Source organism: Homo sapiens, chromosome X (assembly GCF_000001405.40).
Source record: "Homo sapiens chromosome X, GRCh38.p14 Primary Assembly".
NCBI classification, from domain to species: Eukaryota; Metazoa; Chordata; class Mammalia; order Primates; family Hominidae; genus Homo; species Homo sapiens.
In genome coordinates, this window is record NC_000023.11 from 73582457 (window position 1) to 73607742 (window position 25286).

The following is a 25286-nucleotide window of genomic DNA, read 5'->3' on the forward strand; positions in this document are numbered from 1 at the left end:
AGCTTGATTTTTCTTTTTTTTTTGCTGAAGAATTAAAGAGCATTGAATCTGCATTTAACATGCAGCAGATTATAAACAAATTATCCTTTTGTTTATAATGTAGTATATAGGAAAACTATGGAATATTAATAGTTACTTGAGTAAACCCATTGCCTTCAGGTGAGACTTCATGCAGAAGAGAGCTGTTTCTTTTCTTTCTCCAAACCTTCTCAGAGACATGATTTATGGACTTTCTTTTTCAAAGCATTTCAGGCAGGAGGTTACTTCCAAGGATTAATTTACATTTTCTGTGAAGTATATAAAACAAAGATTATTATTCTCATTTTATCGGTGGGAAACTGAAACTCAGAAAAATTAAATGAATTTGCCTAGGATTTTTCATAGCTAATAAGTAACTATAATTCAAGTCTCTCGATCTGTTTTTCAGTGTTTTTAGTTTGTCTTAGTTTAATGTGCTTAGTGCACTCTTGTGCACTAAGTTTGTTAGTGTTTTCTAATTTCAATTATAAGGCAAGGCTGTGTGAATTTGTTTTCATATTTACTTAGAAATTTTGCCATTTAATTGGAATTCTTTGCACCCAGTGATTGTCTTTACATCATGTTGCTGACAGTCTAGATGGAGAATGAAATTAGTTTACTTGCTCTGTGTAAACACAGTTTTGAGCCTTATAATTTCACAACTATTGTTTGTTAACATATTAGTAAGAAAATCAGATTCATGGGCTAAGCAATTAACCTTATTGAGTGACATGAACAATTCTAATAAAACTTCTAATAAAGCTTATATATGTAATGTTTAGCTTACTTTAGTGCTGAATTATGTGATCATGTATTTTTATAACATTTGCTAATAGGTATATGTTTTGTAGTGTTGATTCTAAGACATCTCTATTAAGAGACAAAAATGTAATAAATTGATTCCTCGAGTACAATTTTTATTTGGAATAGTAGTAGTAAAGCTCTATATTTTTGATTCCTAACCTGCTAATGCGGTTTTTATTTTATAATACCTTACTTTTCCTAACCATTGCCTAATTTTTGCTTTTATAGCCAGATGCTAAATGTTCTTTCATAAACTTTATAGTCTGACAGCTTTCTAAATGAAAGGGAATCATTTTTGTAATCTAGAAATGTGATTTCACTGAAAGCAAACTATTTTTAGTATATGTTTGAATTGTATAACATTCAAGCAGAATTTTTGGTATAAATCTAATTATTCCAGTCATGTGCATGCCTTTGAACTGACTTTGTCCTTGTTTACAGAGAAGCACAAGCAGCCACTTCCAAGAATGGAGGTAGTAACTAGAAATATTAAACTTGTGTATTTAAAGACCTTTCAACTTTAAAAGTTTACCGCAGTTATGAATCCATTTTATACTGAATATTAACAGGCTGTTTTGAATGCAATCACTAGGCATTGTCTTTTGTTAGTGTAACTAACAGTGGCTAATGTTAAAATTGTTATATTGCAAATTTGCCAGGGAATAAGGGTTTGAGAGTTGCCTTTTTTCAAAGTAATCCAGGAGTATTGCCAAGGTCTAATTTTAATTGCATTTTCTCTAGTAGTATTTGGGTTTTTTATTGTTGTGTTATGCTTCTAGTCTTACCCAGCTTTTACTCAGAATGACTAGAGACTATCAATTATACTGCCTTGATAATGAGAATATTTGGTAAGAAAAAGGCTTGAAAGTTATCCTTTTCCGTCAATTTTATTGCAGTCATTTTATTGGTGGTCATTTCAGAAGATTGATTTTCAACATCAGGCTAAGTTCTATGAACTTGAAATTATATTGTTGTGCTTTTCAACGTCATCCTAGAGTGCGTGAACATATTTATGGGGAATATATCTATTTAGATATTTGTGATTCCTTAAATTATTTGTAATAAATGTTTTTCTTAGATTTAGAGATAAACAGTGAAAAGCTGCCCACAAACTGTTAAAGATTGTACCCTCTTGTAGGTGGCCCCAGAAGAATTTAAAACCAGCATTGGCCGTGTGAATGCATGTTTGAAAAAGGCTCTCCCGGTCAATGTGAAATGGCTGCTGTGTGGTTGTCTCTGCTGCTGTTGCACACTGGGTTGCAGCCTATGGCCTGTTATTTGTCTCAACAAAAGAGTGAGTAACTGTTTTATTGTATAATAATAATAATAACTAACATTTATGGAAAACTTACTATGTGCTATGAACTCTTTTCAAGTACTTTACACAATTTAGTTAATTCTTGTAACAATGCTATCTTTATTTTAGAGATAAGGAAACTTGGGGACAGGTACATTGTTATTTGTCCAACTTTTGTCAACACTTTACCATTTAATATGGGTTCCCATCATTTCACATAAAAGCAGTATAAGTTAAATATTAAGTAATTATAAATGTAAGTGGGCTACTTATTCTTTTTAAAATACCTGATGCTGTGCCTTAAGGTATTTCCAAGTTATAGGTATAAAGGAGAGCTTCTGATCTGAAGAAAGGCAAAAGTGAGAGTAACCTACAAAGTTTGCAGGGCAAATCCTTAGTTTTAAACATGTTACAATAACATGCTAGCATAGCATTACTACTTATGTCATGGATTTAAGAGTACTGTCTTAATCTTGTCTTTTTTAAAATTTCACATTAGTTTTTGTAAATTTTTTCCTCTGGTGGGAAGATGCCTTTAAAATATTTTAATTGAAGCCAATGAGGAAAATTAATTCATTTTACCTAAAGTGTTTTTCCTAGTACTGTATGAATGATTTCATTTAAACTTTTAAATAATAAGTAGCCAATGAAATCAGATTCAAAATTATAGTGCCTTGTGGAAGAATAATTAGTGGTGCAGTTATTTTATTAAAGCCAAAAATATTCCCAAGAAGTACTCATTATTTTTTTATCTCTATTCTTTTCCTGCCTGGTTTAATGTTTACTTCAAAAAGACAAATAATGAAATATTGCCAACTCTATGACTCTTTGAATGGAAAAGTTAAGCATTTTAGTCTGTTGGTAATCACAAGTAGGTCAGAGCTTCACTTTAAATATTGCTTAGTCTATTGTTTGTCAGAGCAGGTACAGTATTCTCAAATGGTTTTCTATAAATAAAAAAAAAGCTGACAGCATAAATTCCTTTTCTTAATTGTCATATCTTACTTTTAAAAGTCACAATCAATAACTCCTACCCATCCCTATTATTTTAAAAGCCTCAGTATGAAATAATCATGTTTGAATTTCCCATCATGTAAATACAGCTAATCTCAGTTACTTAAGAACAGATTTTTTTGTTTGTTTGTTTCTGTATTATCCAGGACTATCCCTTTTTCTGATGACCTGTTTACACTTTGTCTATTTGTTAATACCTTCACCAGAAGGCCTGAAATAAGGAGAAACATTTTTTTTTCAGTCATTTGATTTTACTATCAATACTTTGAATAGAATATTCAATGGAAACTAAGATAATACTGATGCTGTGATCTCTCCTATCCTCCATTACTTTGGATAATTAAAAGCTCATAGTGAAGTTGAGGCATCAGTATATTCTGGTTCGCAAATCTGTCAATTTAAAAAATTTATTTAATATAGATTTGCAAATTGTCATCCATGAGCCAAATCCAGCCCACTCTGTTTTTAAACATTTTAATCAGTTTGCCAACATTTAAACATTGTAATATTTAAAATAAAATTCATGATATCCAGCCTCTTGTAAAATCTAAAGATCTGGCAATACCGGGCCCACATGGCTATATGTCAGCAGTTGGCTCTGAGTAGTGGCTGCTTCCTTTAAGTAGAACATACATTCTCTGGTTCATCTTAGAAACCACCCATAGTTTACATTATCTGCCTTGCTCTGTAAGCATTATAGTTCACGGCCTCTGATTTTGTATGTGCCATGTTGTCAACACTATACTAGACAGCAAAACATTAAGAACATGCTGGTAACCTTGTGCAAGTCACTGTTCTTTCTGTAGCCTCAAGTTTTCTCACCTATAAAATCAGGACACTACTAGTTACTTTTAACATGGTTTTATGATGAAATTTAAAGCAACTCAAAGATTTTTGTCTACATGAAGAAATATAAAATATAATTAAGAATTTTTATACATTCACTACTGATTTTCTAATATGTAAAATAAGTTGAATAGACTATAATAGTTTAATTGGAAGTATGATTCACATTCATATAGTTCAAATCCCTTATTTTACAGGTGTGGACATAAATCCAGAGGGTGAAGTGACTTTCTCAGAATCACATGGCAAATAGCACAGCCACAAAAATAATCCTTGCTTTATTTTGTTTTTGTTTTTGTCTTTAATACTGCATCCTCTTGACTACATCATGTTTCTTACATCAAATTGACTAGTCCTGAGACCAGAAATGTTTGCGTAAGTTGTATAATAAACAGCCCACTGAATTTTAATTCTTTAGCAGTGGATAGAAAACTTTTTCTTAAAGAACCAAATAGTAAATATTTTAGCCTTTGTGAGCCAGAGGTCTCTGTTGCAACCGCTCAACTGTGGCATTGTCACATGTAAACAGCCATAAGCATATGTAAATGAGTGAGCATTACTGTGTTCTCATAAAACTTTATTTACAAAAACAGGCAGCAAGCCAGATCTGGCCTATGGGCTGTTGTTTGACACCTTGCTCTAGCCATCTCTAATTGGGTATCTAGCTTTATGGAAGTCATATCTCTGTTTGCTCACAAAATAAAATGGAAATAATAATGAAGATGCTATATTAGCCAATTATTGAAAATATTTCCAGCAAAAGAATTTTTATGTAGATAGTCTGCCTTATAATTTTTTGGCAGTATAATTCATGAGAATTTTCTCTAGCAAATTAGGTGATAAAGAAATATAGGTCAGAGTGCCTTGAGTTCCCCCTAATCTCTCTTGACTCTGGTGCGATTTCGCAGCTACATGATACATTAAGTGAGGCTTTTCATTTACTTGTTCTTCTATCTACCACTGAACCAACTGTGATATCATAGTCAATTTCAGCCCCAGTCATGCTATGACTCAAAATTTGAAATTACTTTTATCCTTTCCTTTTTTGCTTTGATACTCATTAAATTGAGAGAGATGGTCAGAGGAAAGGACTACTTTCTGACTCATGACATAAATATGATGTTTTAGGAGATAGAGGTTATAATTCACTGTCCTGTTTGATTCTGTGTTTTTGTAGCTAATTATAAAAAGAAGGAAAAGCATATGATAGAAACAAATGCCCCATCCATACATTATGCCATTTGGAAAAGAAAATCAGTCTTTGCAATGAGAGACAAATAGTTCTGCCAAGAATTAAGCAAATTACGTGTAATCTATGTATAATTTAGGCCTTTCATAAAATACGTTTTGTGCTCTTGGGCAAAGACAACATGCATAAAGTGAGTGCATAGAGTATTATAACTTGGTCATAGACTGCCTTTTCCTTACTGTCTTTGAACCTTTTAATTTATGTGTCAACCTTGAGTCATTTGAGCCATATATAAGAAAATGATGTTTATGGCATGTTAATACTAAAAGCTGATAAGTTTGCTTCCTTTTTTGTTAGCTTTACTGGCTAATTGTATTGAATGTAGGATTGTATCTGCTCTGCAGAAGTACAGTGATTGGTATTAAGCTAACTTTGATACTTTTCTGGTCAGCTTGAGAGTCAGCCATCTGGTTTAAAAAATAATTTATTGGGAAATAATTTACAGAACATAAAGTTAACTCATATTAAGAGAACAATTCATTGAATATTATTGTACTTACAGAGTTGTGTAACTATCACCATAATCTAATTTTAGAACATTTCCATCATCCTAAGAGTAAACCTTGTGATCACTTTTTGTCACTCCCAATTTCCCTCCAATCCTCCCAGCCCTATACAACCACTGATCTACTTTCTCTCTTATGTTTGCATTTTTGAACATTTTATATGATATGTACTCTTTCATGGCTTTTAAAACTGAACATAATGTTTTTTGTGGAAAAATACACGACATAAAATTTGCATTTTTAACCACTTTAAAGTGGATAAAATTCAGTCGCATTAACTACATTGACAGTGTTATGCAACCATCCACTATCTAGTTTCAGAAATCTTTTATCACCTGCAAGGAAAATCTCATATCCATTAAGCAGTCATTTCTCATTTTCCTTCCCCTCAGGAAGTTAAAAAGTGTTTCCCTCTTTTCTGTATTTTACAAAAGTTTAAGAAGGATTGGTATTCTTCTTTTAAACATTTGGGAGAATTTCCTTTCTTTTGGGCATAACAGTGACACTATCTGATCTTGAGTTTTTTTTCTTGGTAGGTTTTTGATTACACATTCAATATTTACTTGTTATAGGTCTATTCAGATTTTCTATTTCTACTTGAGTCAATTCTAGGAGTTTGTTCATTTCGTCTAGGTTGTAGGCCTACAATTATTTTTAGTATTCACTTCTAATTTTTTTCTAAATTACTGTAAGAGTGATATGTAATGTCCCTATTTTCATTTCTGATTCTAGTCATCTCAGTCTTCTTTTTTTTCTTAATCCTTGTAGCTGAAAGTTTGTCAAATTTCTTTTCAAAGAAAAAACTTTTGGTCTTGTTCATTTTTTCTGTTGTTCTATTCTGTATTTCATTTCTCTCCACTCTATTTTTTCCTTTTTTCTGCTATGTTTGGGTTTAGTTTGCTCTTTTTAGTTCCATAAGGTCTAAATTTAGGTTATTGATTTGAGATCATTCTTCTTTCTTAATGTAGGCATTTACCGCCCTCAGTTTTCTTTGAAACATTGCTTACTCACATTCTGAGATACTGGGAGTTGTGATTTCATTGTATGAATTTTGAGGGAATATAATTCAGCCCATAACACATAAGGAAGGACTTCCACTATTTTGCTATTTGTTTTCCATGTCGTATGTTTTTTGTTCCTCAATTCCTTCATTACTTATTTATTTTATGTTTAATTGAGTTTTTTACTGTACTGTATACCTTATTTCCTTTTCTGTATCTTTTTAAGTTATTTTCTTAGTTGTTACAATTAACATCTTAAACTTATAACACACTAGTTTGAATTAATATCACCTTAGCTTTAATAGTATGTAAATTCTACTGCTATGTATATCTATACCTCCCCTTTTATGTTGTTGTTATCACAAATTATATGTTATATATTGTGTGTCCATTAACAGATTTATGATTATCATTTTGTCTTTTAATCATACGGGAAAAAGAGTTCCAACCCAAAAATACAATATTGGCTTTTAAATATATTTGTGCAGTTACCTTTACCAGTGTTCTTTATCACATGCCTCAAGTTATTGTCTAGTGTCCTTTCATTTCAGCCTAAGGATCTCTTTTTAGAATTTATTGAAAAGCTGTCCTAATAGTGATGAACTCCCTCAGCCCTTGGTTGTCTGGGAATTTCTTCATTTCTTTTTTTGAAGGATAATTTTGCTCAGTATAGAATTTTTGGTTGACAGTTTGCTTGTTTGTTTTGTAATTTCTGCACTTTAAATACTATATGCCATCCCACTGCCTCTGACCTTCATGGTTTCTGATGTGAAATTAACTGTTAATCTTATGGAGAGTCTCTTGTACTTAACAAGTCACTTCTTTCTTACTGCTTTCAAGATTTCCCTCTTTGTTTTTTACTTTCAACAGTTTAATTATACTTTATCTTGGTATGGTTCACTTTGAGTTTATCCTACTTGGAATTTATTTGGCTTCTTGGAATGTTTTTTTTCTGTGTGCAGTTTCAAATTAATATCTGGTGTCACTTGATGCCAGCCTGAAGAACTTCTTTTAGTGTTTCACATAAGCTGGGTCTGCAGGCCACAGATACTCTCAGTTTTTATTTAGGAATGTCTTTATTTTGTCTTCACTTTTTAATATGCAATTTTTAATTAATAGATTTTTAAAAACAATTTTAGGTTTACAGAAAAAAAAATGAGCAAAAAGCACAGATTCCATAAACCCCCTCATCCAATACCAATTTCCCCTACTATTGAGATCTTACATTAGTGTGGTACAGTTGTTACAATTGATGAGCCAATATTGATATATTATAATTAACTAAAGTCCATGGTTTACATTAGGCTTCACTCTTTGTGTTCTACATCCTATGGATTTTGGCAAGTGTATAATGATATGTAGCCATCATCATAGTATCGTACAGAATAGCAGTTTCACTGCCCTAAAACTCCATTATGCTACACCTATTTCATCCCACCCGCATATCCTGAGCAATCACCTAACTTTTTATTGTCTCCATAGGTTTGCCTTTTCCAGAATGTCATATAAGTTGAAATTATATAGAATATATTCATATTGGCTTCTTTCACTTACCAATATGCATTTAAGGTTCCTCCATGTCTTTTCCTGGCTTGATAGCTCATTTCTTTTTATCACTGAATAATATTCCAGTTTTGAGATTTGCCAGTTTATCTGTTCACCTATTAAAGGGTTTCTTGGTTACTTCCAAGGTTTCACAATCATAAATAAGACTGTTATAAACATTCAAGTACAGGTTTTTGAGTGGACAGTTTTGAACTCATTTGATGATTGCTGGATCATGTGGTAAGAGTATGTTTAGTTTTGTAAGAAACTGCCAAACTGTCTTGCAAAGTCGCTGTGCCATTTTGTATTCCCACCAGCAATGAATAAGACTTCCTGTTGTTCTACATCTTCATCAACGTTTGGTGTTGTCAGTATTGTGGATTTTGGCCATTCTAAAACGTAGGTAGTGATATCTCACTATTGTTTTAATTTCTAATTCTGCATAGTCATACGATATTGAGCAGCTTTTTACAAGCTTATTTTCCTTCTATGTATCTTCTTTGAAGAGGTTTCTGATCAGGCCTATGACCCCCCTTTTTTTAATGACATGGGTACAGGATGGTTCCTGAAGGAAAAGAGGGCTTAGTGGCCTCCAAATTCCCTCACTCACCAATTTCTGGAGGAGACTCTAGTGGGGTGAGGACTGAGGAGCCTATGCACACTTTTTCATTGGGTTGTTTATGTTATTATTGTTGAGTTGTTAAAGAGTTATTTGTATACTTTGGATACCAGTTTTCTACAAAGTATGTGTTTTGCAAATATTTTCTCTCAGCCTGTGGTTTGTCTTTTTACTCTCTTAATAGTATATTTTGTAGAGTGGAACATTTTAATTTTAATGAATTTCACCTTATTAATGTTTTCTTTTATGCATCTTGCTTTCTGGTGTTGTATGTAAGAATTCATTGCCAAACCCAAGGTCACCTAGATTTTGTTTTATGTTATATTCTAGGAATTTTAAGAGTTTGGCATTTGTGAAAGGTGTAAGGTATGTGAATACATTCAGTTTTCCTTGCATGTTGATGTCCATTTGTACCAGCACCATCTGTTGAAAAGACAACAATTTCCTTGAATTGCCTTTTTGTCAGAGGTCTATTTCTGCCTTGTCTATTCTGTTCCATTGAATAACTAATCAGTTCTTTCACCAATTCCACACTATCTTGATTACTGTAGCTTTATAGTAAGTCATGAGGTCAAGTAGTATCAGTCCTCTTTGTTCTCCTTAAATACTGTGTTGACTATTATGGATCTTTTACTTTTCCATATAAACTTTAGAATCATTTTTTCAATAATCACAAAACATTGTGATTTTGCATTCTGAAACTTTACTGAAGTTTTTTTTTTAATCAGTTCAAGGAGCCTTTTGGCAGAGTCTTTTGGGTTTTTCTAGGTATAAAATAATACCAACAGCAAAAAGAGGTAGTTTCACTTTTTTACCTATTTATGTGCCTTTTATTTTTTTGTCTTGACTGATTGCTCTGTCTAGGACTTCCAGTACTGTGTTGAATAGGAGTGGTGGGAGTGAGTATCCTTTTCTTGTTCCAGTTCTCAAAAAGGCTGGGGAAATGGTTCCAGCTTTTGCCTGTTCTATATGATGTTAGCTATGGGTTTGCCATAGATGGCTCTTAACTATTTTGAGATATATTTCTTTGATGGCTAGTTTGTTAAGGGTTTTTATGAAGTGAAATTGGGTTTTATCAAAGGCTTTTTCTGTGTCTGTTGACATGATTATATGGTCTTTGTTTTTTGTCCTGTTTATGTGGTGAATCACATTTATTGATTCGCATATGTTGAACCAACCTTGTATCCTAGGATTAAAGCCTACTTGATTGTGGAGAATTAATTTTTTGATGTGCTGCTGGATTCAGATTGCTAGTATTTGTTGGGGATTTTTGTGTCTATGTTCATCAGGGATATTGGCCTGAAGTTTTTTTTTCATTGTGTCGTTGCCATATTTTGGTATCAGGATGATGCTGGCTTCATAGGATGAATTAAGGAGGAGTCTCTCCTCCTCTATTTTTTGGAATAATTTTAGTATGATTGGTATTAGCTCTTCTTCGTACTTCTGGTCGAATTCAGCTGTGAATCCATCTGGTTTAGGGTTTTTCTTCATTGGTAGGTTTTTAATTGCTGTTTCAATTTTGGAACGTGTTATTGTTCTGTTCAGGGTTTCCATTTTTTTTTCCTGATTCAATCTTGAGAGCCTGTGTGTTTGCAGAAATTTATTCATTTCCTGTAGATTTTCTAATTAGTATGCATAGAGGTGTTCATAATAATGTCTGAGGATCTTTTATATTCCTGTGAGATTGGTTGTAATGTCTCCTTTGTCATTTCTCATTGTGCTTATTTGGATCATCTCTCAATTTTCTTTGTTAATTTAGCTATCAATCTACAGATCTTGTTTATCCCTTCAAAAAACCAACTTTTGGTTTCATTGACCCTTTGTATGGATTTTGGGGTCTCAGTTCCTTTCAGTGCTCCTCTGATTTTTGTTTTCTTCTGCTAGCTTTGTTAGTTTGTTTTTGTTTTTCTAGTTCCTCTAGGTGCAATGTTAGATTGATAATTTGAGATCCTTCTAAGTTTTGACTGTAGGCATTTGGCACTGTAAACTTTCCTCTTCATGCTGCTTTTGCTGCATCCTAGAGATTTTGTGTTTTGTGGATGATTGTCTTGTATAGTATCATGGAGAGGTTCTCTGAATTTCTTGAATTTGCATGTCGACCTCTACCAAGATTAGGGAAATGTTCATGGACTGTATCCTCAAATATGTTTTCCATGTTGCTTACTCTGTCTCCTTCTGTCTCAGGAGTCCTAATGTGTCATAGGTTTGGTCTATCTACATAATTCCCTATTTCTCAGAGACTTTGTTCCTTTTTTATAATTCTGTTTTCTTTATTTTTGCCTGACTGGCTTGATTGAAAAGGCCAGTCTTCAATCTCTGAAACTCTTTCTTGAGTTTGATCTAATCTTTTTAATGCTTCTAATTTTATGTTGAAATTCCTGTAGTGAATTTTTCAATTCCAGAAGTTCAGTTTGGTGCTTTTTTAATATGGTCATTTCATCTTTCAATTTTTGGATCATTTTACTGGCTTCCTTGGATTGGACTTCAACTTTCTCTTGAATCTCTTTGAATTTCTTTGCCATCCGATTCTGAATTCTATGTCATTTCAGACATTTCAAACTGTTTAGGATCCATTTCTGGGGACATAGTGCAATCATTGTTAGATAAGTAAACACACTGACTTTTTGAATTGCTGGAGTTATTGCATTGATTTTTTTTTCTGCTCTGGGGGTTCTTGTGTTTCTCATTTTGAAATTGCTATTATTTGGATGGGACTTTTTTATTTTATAGGGGTTTTTTTTCCCTCTTGAAGGTTTGACTGGTGAATGTTGTGTACAGGTGCTTTCCTTTGTTTTGTTTTGTTTTGTTTTGTTTTGTTTTGTTTTGTTTTGTTGAGGCAGAGTCTCGCTCAGTCACCCACGCTGGAATACAAAGGCATGATCTCAGCTCACTGCAATGTCTGCCTCCTGGGTTCAAGCAATTCTTCTGCCTCAGCCTCTCCAGTAGCTGGGATTACAGGCACCTGCTATCATGCCCGGCTAATTTTTGTATTTGTGTAGAGATGGGGTTTCACGATGTTGCCCAGGCTGGTCTTGAACTCCTCACCTCAGGTGATCCGCCTGCTTTCTTTTTGAGTGCTTTCAGAGGGTCATGGTTCTGTATGGGTTCCTTAGTTTTCTGCATTGGATTTCATAGGCATTGCATGCTGAAGAAATTTATTTTTGTTTGCTGCTATAATTCAGGTTGCAATCCAGTAGATAGAGTTTAAATGTAAGGGCCAGCAGATAGGATTTTACTCAGTAGTGTGCCTCTTTTGTATTTCAATGCATATGCATTTCAAGTACACGACTTGGAGCCCTCAGTTACATTTATACTGTTGTGGAACCATTACCAATACCTATTTCCAATTTTTTTTCATTACCCCAAATAGGAACTCTATAGCCATTAAGTAATAACTTCTCAATTCTTCCTTTCTTCATACTCTGCTAACTTCTAATCTACTTTCTGTCTCTACAAATTTGCCTGTTCTAGATACCTCATGTAAGTGAAATAATGCCATATTTTTTCTTTTAGATTCAGCTTATTTCACATACCATAAAGTCTTCGCTGTTAATCCATATCATATTTCAGAATTTCATTACCTTTTATGGCTTAATAGCATTCTATTTTGTGTAAATATCATAGTTTTGTCTATCCACTTATTTATTGATGGACACTTGAGTTGTTTCCACCTTTTGGCTATTGGGAATAATGCTGTAGTAAACATTACTATACAAGTGCCTGTTTGAGTCTTTGATTTCAATTCTTTTGGGTATATATCTAGGAGTACAATTGCTGGTCATATGGCAATTGTTTAGCTTTTTGAGGAACCACCAAAATCTTCCCTTTTTTTATTATATTTAAGTTCTGGGATACATGTGCAGAACATATAGGTGTGTTACATAGCTATACACGTGCCATGGTGGTTTGCTGCACCTATCAACCCATCATCTACATTAGGTATTTGTCCTAATGCTATCCTTCCCCTTTACCCCCACCCTCCGACAGGCCCCGGTGTGTGCTGTACCCCTCCCTGTGCCCATATGTTCTCATTGTTCAACTCCCACTTATAAGTGAGAACATGCAGTGTTTGGTTTTCTGTTCCTGTGTTAGTTTGCTGAGAAAGATGGCTTCCAGCTTCACCCATGTCTCTGCAAAGGACATGAACTCATTCTTTTTTTATGGCTGCATAGTATTCCATGGTGTATATGTACCACATTTTCTTTATCCAGTCTAATATTGATGGACATTTGGGTTGGTTTTAAGTCTTTGCTATAGTGACTAGTGCTGCAATAAACATACGTGTGCATGTGTCTTTGTGGTAGAATGATTTATAATTCTTTTGGTATATACCCAGTAATGTCATTTCTGGGTCAAATGGTATTTCTAGTTCTAGATCCTTGAGGAATCGCCACATTGTCTTCCACAATGGTTGAACTAATTTACACTCCCAACATCTGTGTAAAAGTGTTCCTATTTCTGGACATCCTCTCCAGCATCTTTTGTTTCCTGACTTTTTAATGATCACCATTCTAACTGGAGTGACATGGTATCTCATTGTGGTTTTGATTTGCATTTCTCTAATGAACAGTAATTACGAGCTTTTTTTCATATGTTTCTTGGCTTCAAGAATGTCTTCTTTTGAGAAATGTCTGTTCATATTCTTTGCCCACTTTTTGATGGGGTTGCTTTTTTCTTGCAAATTTGTTTAAGTTCCTTGTAGATTCCGGATATTAGCTCTTTGTCCGATTGATACATTGCAAAAATTTTCTCCCATTCTGTAGGTTCCCTGTTCACTCTGATGATAGTTAAACTTCTAAAGCTGATAAGCAACTTCAGCAAAGTCTCAGGATACAAAATCAATGTGCAAAAATCACAAGCATTCCTATACACCAATAATAGACAAACAGAGAGCCAAATCATGAGTGAACTCCCATTCACAATTGCTACACAGGGAATAAAATACCTAGGAATACAACTTACAAGGGATCTGAAGGACCTCTTTAGTGAGAGCTACAAACCACTCCTCAAGGAAATGGGAGAGGACATAAACAAATGGAAAAACATTCCATGATCATAGATAAGAAGAATCAATATTGTGAAAATAGCCATACTGCCCAAAGTAATTTATAGATTCAATGATATCCCCATCAAGCTATGATTGACTTTCTTCACAGAATTAGAAAAAACTACTTTAAATTTCATATAGAACTCAAAAAGAGCCCATGTAGCCAAGACAATACTAAGGAAAAAGAACAAAGCTGGAGGCATCACACTATCTGACTTCAAACTATACCACAAGGCTTCAGTAACCAAAGCAGTTTGGTACTGGTACCAAAACAGATATATAGGCCAATGGAACAGAACAGAGGCCTCAGAAATAACACCACACACCTACAATCACCTGATCTTTGACAAACTTGCCAAAAACAAGCAATAGGGAAAGGATACCCTATTTAATAAATGGTGTTGAGAAAACTGGCTAGCCATATGCAGAAAACTGAAACTGGACCCCTTCCTTACACCTTATACAAAAATTAACTACAGATGTATTAAAAGATTTAAATGTAAGATCCAAAACCATAAAACCCTAGAAGAAAACCTAGGCAATACCATTCAGGACATAGGCATGGACAAAGACTTCATGACCAAAATACCAAAAGCAATTGCAACAAAAGCCAAAATTGAAAAATGGGATGTAACTAAACTAAAGAGCTTCTGTACACCACAATCTTTTCCATGGGAGCTATATCATTTTACATTCCTACCAGCAATGCAGAAGAGTTCAGATTTATGGAGATCCTCATCAATGTGTGTTATTTTCCATTTCATTTATAACAGCCACCCTAGTGAGCATAAAATGGTGTCTCATTGTGATTTCGACATACATTTCCCTCATGATTAGTGATATTTAGTGTCTTTTCATTTGCTTGTTGAACATTTGTATGTCTTTTTTGAAGAGATGTCTGTTTACATCCTTTGTCCATTTTCTCTCTAGGTTGTTTATTTGTTCTTTAGTTGTGGGTGTTTTTATATAATCTTGTTAATCTCTTATCAAATATATAATTTACAAATAATTTCTACCGTTCTGTGGTTTGTCTTTTCACTGTCTTAATAGTGCCATGTGATGCACAAAATTGTTGATTTTTATGAAGTCCCATTAAACTAGTTTTCTTTTCTTGCCTGGGCTTAGGCATTATATCTTAAAAAAATATATTTTTATATATATAACATAATTATATATATACATATATACACACATATATATATACACACACACACACACATATATATATATATACGCACTATAAGTTTTGGGATACATGTGCAGAACGTGCAGGTTTGTTACCTAGGTATACACATGCCATGGTGGATTGGTGCACCCAGCGACCTGTCATCTACATTAGGTATTTCTCCTAATGCTATCCCTCCCCTAGCCCCCCACCTCCTGACAGACCCTGGTGTGTGATGTTCCCCTCCCTGTGTCCATGTGTTCTCATTGTTCAACTCCCATTTATGAGTGAGAACATGCAGTGTTTGGTTTTCTATTCCTGTGTTAGTTTGCTGAGAATGATGGTTTCCAGCTTGATCCATGTCCCTGCAAAGAACATGAACTCATTCTTTTTTATGGCTGCATAGTATTCCATGGTGTACATGTGCCACATTTTCTTTATCCAGAGTATCATTCATGTGCATTTGGGTTGGTTCCAAGTCTTTGCTATTGTGAATAGTGCTGCAGAAAACATTCATATGCATGTGTCTTTATAGGAGAATGATTTGCAAACCATTGGGTATATGCCCAGTAATGGGATCGCTGGGTCAAATGGTATTTCTGGTTCTAGATCCTTGGGCAATTGCCACACTGTCTTCCACAATGGTTTAACTAATTTACACTCTCCATCCTCTCCAGCATCTGTTGTTTCCTGACTTTTTAATGATCACCATTCTAACTGGCATGAGATGGTATCTCATTTTGGTTTTGGTTTGCATTTCTCTTTTTTTTTTTATTATTATACTTTAAGTTTTAGGGTACATGTGCACATTGTGCAGGTTAGTTACATATGTATACATGTGCCATGCTGGTGCGCTGCACCCACTAACTCGTCATCTAGCATTAGGTATATCTCCCAGTGCTATCCCTCCCCCCTCCCCCCACCCCACCACAGTCCCCAGAGTGTGATATTCCCCTTCCTGTGTCCATGTAATCTCATTGTTCAGTTCCCACCTATGAGTGAGAATATGTGGTGTTTGGCTTTTTGTTCTTGCGATAGTTTACTGAGAATGATGCTTTCCAATTTCATCCATGTCCCTACAAAGGACATGAACTCATCATTTTTTATGGCTGCATAGTATTCCACGGTGTATATGTGCCACATTTTCTTAATCCAGTCTATCATTGTTGGGCATTTGGGTTGGTCCCAAGTATTTGCTATTGTGAATAATGCCGCAATAAACATACATGTGCATGTGTCTTTATAGCAACATGATTTAGAGTTCTTTGGGTATATACCCAGTAATGGGATGGCTGGGTCAAATGGTATTTCTAGTTCTAGATCCCTGAGGAATCGCCACACTGACTTCCACAATGGTTGAACTAGTTTACAGTCCCACCAACAGTGTAAAAGTGTTCCTATTTCTCCACATCCTCTCCAGCACCTGTTGTTTCCTGACTTTTTAATGATTGCCATTCTAACTTGTGTGAGATGGTATCTCATTGTGGTTTTGATTTGCATTTCTCTGATGGCCAGTGATGATGAGCATTTTTTCATGTGTTTTTTGGCTGCATAAATGTCTTCTTTTGAGAAGTGTCTGTTCATGTCCTTCGCCCACCTTTTGATGGCGTTGTTTGTTTTTTTCTTGTAAATCTGTTTGAGTTCATTGTAGATTCTGGATATTAGCCCTTTGTCAGATGAGTAGGTTGCAAAAATTTTCTCCCATTTTGTAGGTTACCTGTTCACTCTGATGGTAGTTTCTTTTGCTGTGCAGAAGCTCTTTAGTTTAATTAGATCCCATTTGTCAATTTTGTCTTTTGTTGCCATTGCTTTTGGTGTTTTAGACATGAAGTCCTTGCCCATGCCAATGTCCTGAATGGTAATGCCTAGGTTTTCTTCTAGGGTTTTTATGGTTTTAGGTCTAACGTTTAAGTCTTTAATCCATCTTGAATTGATTTTTGTATAAGGTGTAAGGAAGGGATCCAGTTTCAGCTTTCTACATCTGGCTAGCCAGTTTTCCCAGCACCATTTATTAAATAGGAAATCCTTTCCCCATTGCTTGTTTTTCTCAGGTTTGTCAAAGATCAGATAGTTGTAGATATGCGGCGTTATTTCTGAGGGCTCTGTTCTGTTCCATTGATCTATATCTCTGTTTTGGTACCAGTACCATGCTGTTTTGGTTACTGTAGCCTTATAGTATAGTTAGAAGTCAGGTAGTGTGATGCCTCCAGCTTTGTTCTTTTGGCTTAGGAGTGACTTGGCAATGTGGGCTCTTTTTTGGTTCCATATGAACTTTAAAGTAGTTTTTTCCAATTCTGTGAAGAAAGTCATTGGTAGCTTGATGGGGATGGCATTGAATCTGTAAATTACCTTGGGCAGTATGGCCATTTTCACGATATTGATTCTTCCTACCCATGAGCATGGAATGTTCTTCCATTTGTTTTTATCCTCTTTTATTTCGTTGAGCAGTGGTTTGTAGTTCTCCTTGAAGAGGTCCTTCACATCCCTTGTAAGTTGGATTCCTAGGTGTTTTATTCTCTTTGAAGCAATTGTGAATGGGAGTTCACTCATGATTTGGCTCTCTGTTTGTCTGTTTTTGGTGTATAAGAATGCTTGTGATTTTTGTACATTGATTTTGTATCCTGAGACTTTGCTGAAGTTGCTTATCAGCTTAAGGAGATTTTGGGCTGAGACAATGGGGTTTTCTAGATATACAATCATGTCATCTGCAAACAGGGACAATTTGACTTCCTCTTTTCCTAATTGAATACCCTTTATTTCCTTCTCCTGCCTGATTGCCCTGGCCAGAACTTCCAACACTATGTTGAATAGGAGTGGTGAGAGAGGGCATCCCTGTCTTGTGCCAGTTTTCAAAGGGAATGCTTCCAGTTTTTGCCCATTCAGTATGATATTGGCTGTGGGTTTGTCATAGATAGCTCTTATTACTTTGAAATATGTCCCATCAATACCTAATTTATTGAGAGTTTTTAGCATGAAGGGTTGTTGAATTTTGTCAAAGGTTTTTTCTGCATCTATTGAGATAATCATGTGGTTTTTGTATTTGGCTCTGTTTATATGCTGGATTACATTTATTGATTTGCGTATATTGAACCAGCCTTGCATCCCAGGGATGAAGCCCACTTGATCATGGTCGATAAGCTTTTTGATGTGCTGCTGGATTCGTTTTGCCAGTATTTTATTGAGGATTTTTGCATCAATGTTCATCAAGGATATTGGTCTAAAAGTGTGCTGTATTCAGGAAACCCATCTCACGTGCAGAGACACACATAGGCTCAAAATAAAGGGATGGAGGAAGATCTACCAAGCAAATGGAAAACAAAAAAAAAGGCAGGGGTTGCAATCCTAGTCTCTGATAAAACAGACTTTAAACCAACAAAGATCAAAAGAGACAAAGAAGGCCATTACATAATGGGAAAGGGATCAATTCAACAACAAGAGCTAACTATCCTAAATATATATGCACCCAGTACAGGAGCACCCAGATTCATAAAGCAAGTCCTGAGTGACCTACAAAGAGACTTAGACTCCCACACATTAATAATGGGAGACTTTAACACCCCACTGTCAACATTAGACAGATCAACGAAACAGAAAGTCAACAAGGATACCCAGGAATTGAACTCAGCTCTGCACCAAGCAGACCTAATAGACATCTACAGAACTCTCCACCCCAAATCAACAGAATATACATTTTTTTCAGCACCACACCACACCTATTCCAAAATTGACCACATACTTGGAAGTAAAGCTCTCCTCAGCAAATGTAAAAGGACAGAGATTATAACAAACTATCTCTCAGACCACAGTGCAATCAAACTAGAACTCAGGATTAAGAATCTCACTCAAAACCGCTCAACTACATGGAAACTGAACAACCTGCTCCCGAATGACTACTGGGTACATAACGAAATGAAGGCAGAAATAAAGATGTTCTTTGAAACCAACGAGAACAAAGACACAACATACCAGAATGTCTGGGACGCATTCAAAGCAGTGTGTGGAGGGAAATTTATAGCACTAAATGCCCACAAGAGAAAGCAGGAAAGATCCAAAATTGACACCCTAACATCACAATTAAAAGAACTAGAAAAGCAAGAGCAAACACATTCAAAAGCTAGCAGAAGGCAAGAAATAACTAAAATCAGAGCAGAACTGAAGGAAATAGAGACACAAAAAACCCTTCAAAAAATTAATGAATCCAGGAGCTGGTTTTTTTGAAAGGATCAACAAAATTGATAGACTGCTAGCCAGACTAATAAAAAAGAAAAGAGAGAAGAGGAAAATAGACACATTAAAAAATGATAAAAGGGATATCACCACTGATCCCACAGAAATACAAACTACCATCAGAGAATACTATAAACACCTCTATGCAAATAAACTAGAAAATCTCGAAGAAATGGATAAATTCCTGGACACATACACCCCCTGCCCCCAAGACTAAACCAGGAAGAAGTCAAATTCCTGAATAGACCAGTAACAGGTTCAGAAATTCAGGCAATAATTAACAGCTTACCAACTGAAAAAAGCCCAGGGCCAGATGGATTCACAGCTGAATTCTACCAGAGGTACAAACAGGAGCTGGTACCATTCCTTCTGAAACTATTCCAATCAATAGAAAAAGAGGGAATCCTCCCTAACTCATTTTATGAGGCCAGCATCATTCTGATACCAAAGCTGGTTTCTGTTTCTCTAATGACCAGTGATGATGAGCTTTTTTTCATGTTTGTTGGCTGCATAAATGTCTTCTTTTGAAAAGTGTCAGTTCATATCCTTCACCCACTTTTTGAGGGGCTTGTTTTTTTTCTTGTAAATTTGTTTAAGTTTCTTGTAGATTCTGGAGATTAGCCCTTTTTCAGATGGATAGATTGCAAACATTTTCTCCCAATCTGTAGGTTGCCTGTTCACTCTGATGATAGTTTCTTTTGCTGTGCAGAAGCTCTTTAGTTTAATTAGATCTCATTTGTCTATTTTGGCTTTTGTTGCCATTGGTTTTGGTGTTTCAGTCATGAAGTCTTTGCCCATGCCTATCTCCTGAATGGTATCACCTAGGTTTTCTTCTAGGGTTTTTATGGTTTTAGGTCTTCCGTTTAAGTCTTTAATCCATCTTGAGTTAGTTTTGTACAAGGTGTAAGGAAGGGGTTCAGTTTCAGTTTTCTGCTTATGGCTAGCCAGTTTTCCCAACACCATTTATTAAATAGGGAATCCTTTCCCCATTGCTTGTTTCTGGCAGGTTTGTCAAAGATCAGGTGGTTGTAGATGTGTGGTGTTTATTTATAAGGCTTCTGTTCTGTTCCATTGATCTATATATCTGTTTTGGTATTAGTACAATGCTGTTTTGGTTACTATAGCCTTGTAGTATAATTCGAAGTCAGATAGCGTGATGCCTCCAGCTTTGTTTTTGCTTAGGATTGTCTTGGGTATATGGGCTGTTTTTTGATTTGATATGAAATTTAAAGTAGTTTTTTCTACTTCTGTGAAGAATGTTAATGGTAGCTTGATAGGGATATCATTGAATCTATAAATTACTTCGGGCAGTATGGCCATTTTCACGATATTGATTCTTCCTATTTATGAGCATGGAATGTTTTTCCATTTGTTTTTGTCCTCTCTTGAGCAGTGGTTTGTAGTTCTTCTTGAAGAGATCCTTCACTTCCCTTGTAAGTTGTATTCCTAGGCATTTTTTCTATTTGTAGCAATTGTGAATGGGAGTTCACTCATTATTTGGCTGTTTGTCTATTATTGGTATATAGGAATGCTTGTGATTTTTGCACATTGATTTCGTATCCTGAGACCTTGCTGAAGTTGCTAATCAGCTTAAGGAGATTTTGGGCTGAGACGCTGGGGTTTTTTAAATATACAATCGTGTCGTCTGCAAGCAGAGACTATTTGACTTCCTCTCTTCCTGTTTGAATACCCTTTATTTTCTTCTCTTGCCTGATTGCCCTGGCCAGAATTTCCAATACTATGTTGAATAGGAGTGGTGAGAGAGGGCATCCTTGTCTTGTGCCGGTTTTCAAAGGGAATGCTTCCAGTTTTTGCCCATTCAGTATGATATCTGCTGTGGGTTTGTCATAAATAGCTCTTATTATTTTGAGATATGTTCCATTAATACCTTGTTTATGGAGAGTTTTTAGCATGAAGGGTTGTTGAATTTTATCAAAGGCCTTTTCTGCATCTATTGAGATAATCTTGTGGGTTTGGTCAATGATTCTGTTTATGTGATGGATTACATTTATTGATTTGTGTATGTTGAACTAGCTTTGCATCTCAGGGATGAAACTGACTTGATGGTGGTGGATAAGCTTTTTGATTTGCTGCTGGATTCGGTTTGCCAGTATTTTATTGAGGATTTTCGCATCAATGTTCATCAGGTATATTGGCCTGAAATTTTCTTTTTTTGTTGTTGTTTCTCTGCCAGGTTTTGGTAACAGGATGATGCTGGCCTCATAAAATGAGTTAGGGAGGAGTCCTTCTTTTTCTGTTGTTTGGAATAATTTCAGAAGGAATGGTACCAGCTCCTGTTTGTACCTCTGGTAGAATTCAGCTGTGAATCCATCTGGCCCTGGGCTTTTTTCAGTTGGTAAGCTGTTAATTATTGCCTGAATTTCTGAACCTGTTACTGGTCTATTCAGGAATTTGACTTCTTCCTGGTTTAGTCTTGGGGGCAGGGGGTGTATGTGTCCAGGAATTTATCCATTTCTTCGAGATTTTCTAGTTTATTTGCATAGAGGTGTTTATAGTATTCTCTGATGGTAGTTTGTATTTCTGTGGGATCAGTGGTGATATCCCTTTTATCATTTTTTAATGTGTCTATTTTCCTCTTCTCTCTTTTCTTTTTTATTAGTCTGGCTAGCGGTCTATTTTGTTAATCTTTTCAAAAAACCAGTTCCTGGATTCATTGATTTTTTTGAAGGGTTTTTCGTGTCTCTATCTCCCAGTTCTGCTCTGATCTTAATTATTTCTTGCCTTCTGCTAGCTTTTGAATTTGTTTGCTCTTGTTTCTGTAGTTCTTTTAATTGTGATTTTAGGGTATGAATTTTAGATTTTTCCTGCTTTCTCTTGTGGGCATTTAGTGCTCTAAATTTTCCTCTAAACACTGCTTTAGTTGTGTCCCAGAGATTCTGGTATGTTGTGTCTTTGTTGTCATTGGTTTCAAAGAACTTATGTATTTCTGCTTTAATTTAGTTATTTACCTAGTAGTCATTCGGGAGCTGGTTGTTCAGTTTCCATGTAGTTGTGCTGTTTTGAGTGAGTTTGTTAATCCTAAGTTCTAATTTGATTGTACTGTGGTCTGAAAGATGGTTTGTTTTGATTTCTGTTCTTTTGCAGAGGAATGTTTTACTTCCAATTATGTGGTCAATTTTAGAATAATTGTGATGTGGTGCTGAGAAAAATATATATTCTGTTGACTTGGGGTGGAGAGTTGTGTAGATGTCTATTAGTTCTGCTTGATCTAGAGCTGAGTTCAAGTCTTGAATATCGTTCTTAATTTTCTGTCTCGTTGATTTGTCTAATATTGACAGTGGGGTGTTAAAGTCTCCCACTATTATCGTGTAGGAGTCTGAGTCTCTTTATAGGTCTCTGAGAACTTGCTTTATTAATCTGGGTGCTCCTGTATTGGGTGCATATATATTTAGGATGGTTAGCTCTTGTCGTTGCATTGAACCCTTTACCATTTGTAATGCCCTTCTTTGTCTTTTTTGATCTTTGTCAGTTTAAAGTCTGTTCTATCAGAGAATAGGATTGCAACTCCTGCTTTTTTTGGCCTTCTATTTGCTTGGTAAATATTTCTGCATCCCTTTATTTTGAGACTATGTGTGTACTTGAGATGGGTCTTCTGAATACAGCACATGGATGGGTCCTTACTCTTTATCTAATTTGCCAGTCTGTGTCTTTTAATTGAGCCATTTAGCCCATTTACATTTAAGGTTAATATTGTTATATGTGAATTTGCTTCTGTCATTATCATGCTAGCTGGTTATTTTCCCTGTTAGTTGATGCAGTTTCTTCATAGTGTCGATGGTCTTTAAAATTTGATATGTTTTTGCAGTAGCTGTTACTGATTTTTCGTTTCCATGTTTAGTGCTTCCTTCAGGAGCTCTTGTAAGGCAGGCCTGGTGATGACAGAATCTCTCGGCATTTACTTGTCTGTAGAGGATTTTATTTCTCCTTCACTTATGATGCTTAGTTTGGCTGGACATGAAATTCTGGGTTGAAAATTCCTTTCTTTAAGAATGTTGAATATTGGCCCCCACTCTCTTCTGGCTTGTAGGGTTTCTGCAGAGAGATCTACTATTAGTCTGATGGGCTTCCCTTTGTGGGTAACCCGACTTTTCTCTCTGGCTGCCCTTAACATTTTTTTCTTCAATTCAGCTTTGGTGAATCTGATGATTATGTGTCTTGGAGTTGCTCTTCTCGAGGTGTATCTTTGTGGTGTTCTCTGTATTTCCTGAATTTGAATGTTGTCTTGTCTTGCTAGGTTGGGTAAGTTCTCCTGGCTTATATCCTGAAGGGTGTTTTTTTAACTTGATTCCATTTTCCCCATCACCAATCAAATGTAGGTTTGCTCTTTTTACATAGTCCCATGTTTCTTGGAGGCTTTGTTTGTTCCTTTTCATTCTTTTTTCTCTAATCTTGTCTTCATGCTTTATTTCATTGAGTTGATCTTCAATCTCTGATATCCTTTCTTCCGCTTGATTGATTCAGCTATTGATACTTGTGTATGCTTCACGAAGTTCTCGTGGTGTGTTTTTCAACTCCATCAGCCCATTCATCTTCTTCTCTAAACTGGTTATTCTAGATAGCAATTCCTCTAATTTTTTTTCAAGGCTCTTAGCTTCATTGATTGGGTTAGAATATGCTCCTTTAGCTCAGCGGAGTTTGTTGTTACCCACCTTCTGAAGCCTAGTTCTGTCACTTCGCCAAACTTCTTCTCCGTCCAGTTTTGCTCCCTTGCTAGTGAGGAGTTGTGATCTTTTGGGGGAGAAGAGACATTCTGGTTTTGGGAATTTTCAGCCTTTTTGCACTTGTTTTTTCTCATCTTCATGGATTTGTCTACCTTTGGTCTTTGATGTTGGTGACCTTTGGAACAGGTTTTTGTGTACGTCCTTTTTGTTGATGTTGATGCTATTCCTTTCTGTTTGTTAGTTTTCCTTCTAAAAGGGCCCTCTGCTGCAGGACTGCTGAAGTTTGCTGAAGGTTCACTTCAGACCCTGTTTGCTTTGGTATCACCAGCGGAGGCTGCAGAATAGCAAAGATTGCTGCCTGCTCCTTCCTCTGTAAGCTTCGTCTCAGAGGGGCACCTGCCAGATGCCAGCTGGAGCTCCCCTCTATGAGGTATCTCTTGACTACTCCTGGGAGTTGTCTTTCAGTCAGGAGGCACGGTTGTCAGGGATCCACTTGAGGAGGCAGTCTTTCCCTTAGCAGAGCTTGAGCACTATGCTGGGAGATCCATTGCTCTTTTCAGAGCCAGCAGGCAGGAACGTTTAAGTCTGCTGAAGCTGCGCCCACAGCCGCCCGTTCCCCCAGGTGCTCTGTTCCAGGGAGATATGAGTTTTATCTATAAGTCTTTGACTGGAGCTGCTGCCTTTCTTTCAGAGATGGCCTGCCCAGAGAGGACGAATCTAGAGAGGTAATTTGGCTACAGCGGCTTTGCCAAGCTGTGGTGGGCTTTGCCGAGTTCAAATTTCCTGGCAGGTTTGTTTACGCTGTGAGGGTAAAACTGTCTACTCAAGCCTCAGTAATGGTGGATGCCCCTTCCCCCACCAAGCTCAGACATCCCAGGTTGACTTCAGACTGCTGTGCTGGCATTGAGAATTTCAAGCCAGTGGATCTTAGCTTCCTGGGCTCCTTGGGGGTGGGATCCACTGAGCTAGACCACTTGGCTCCCTGGCTTCAGCCCCCTTTCCAGGGGAGTGAACATTTCTATCTCGCTGACATTCCAGGAGCCACTGGGGTATGAAAAAAAAACACTTCTGCAACTAGCTCAATGTCTGTCCAAATGGCCACCTAGTTTTTGGCTTGAAACCCAGGGCCATGGTGGTGTCGGCACCCAAGGGAATCTTCTTGTCTGTGGGTTGTGAAGTCTGTGGGAAAAGTGTAGTAACTGGGCCGGAATGCATTGTTCCTCACTCACGGCACAGTCCCTCATGGCTTTCCTTGGCTCGGGGAGG

The 25286-nt window shown here is 36.1% G+C and overlaps 1 protein-coding gene across 5 annotated transcripts in view; it reads left to right on the top strand.

The window, feature by feature from the left end:
* Positions 1-25286, top strand: part of CHIC1 (cysteine rich hydrophobic domain 1) — a 123964-nt gene that overhangs the window by 19309 nt on the left and 79369 nt on the right. For 3 of the 5 annotated variants that reach the window (NM_001300884.1, NM_001039840.4, XM_017029583.2), the window contains one exon: positions 1961-2116. In NM_001300884.1, coding sequence (NP_001287813.1) covers positions 1961-2116 — 156 coding nt within the window. Of the gene's footprint in view, positions 1-1960; positions 2117-4176; positions 11871-25286 lie in introns of those variants that run through there. The other 2 variants (XM_017029582.2, XR_001755699.2) reach the window with 2 other exon arrangements.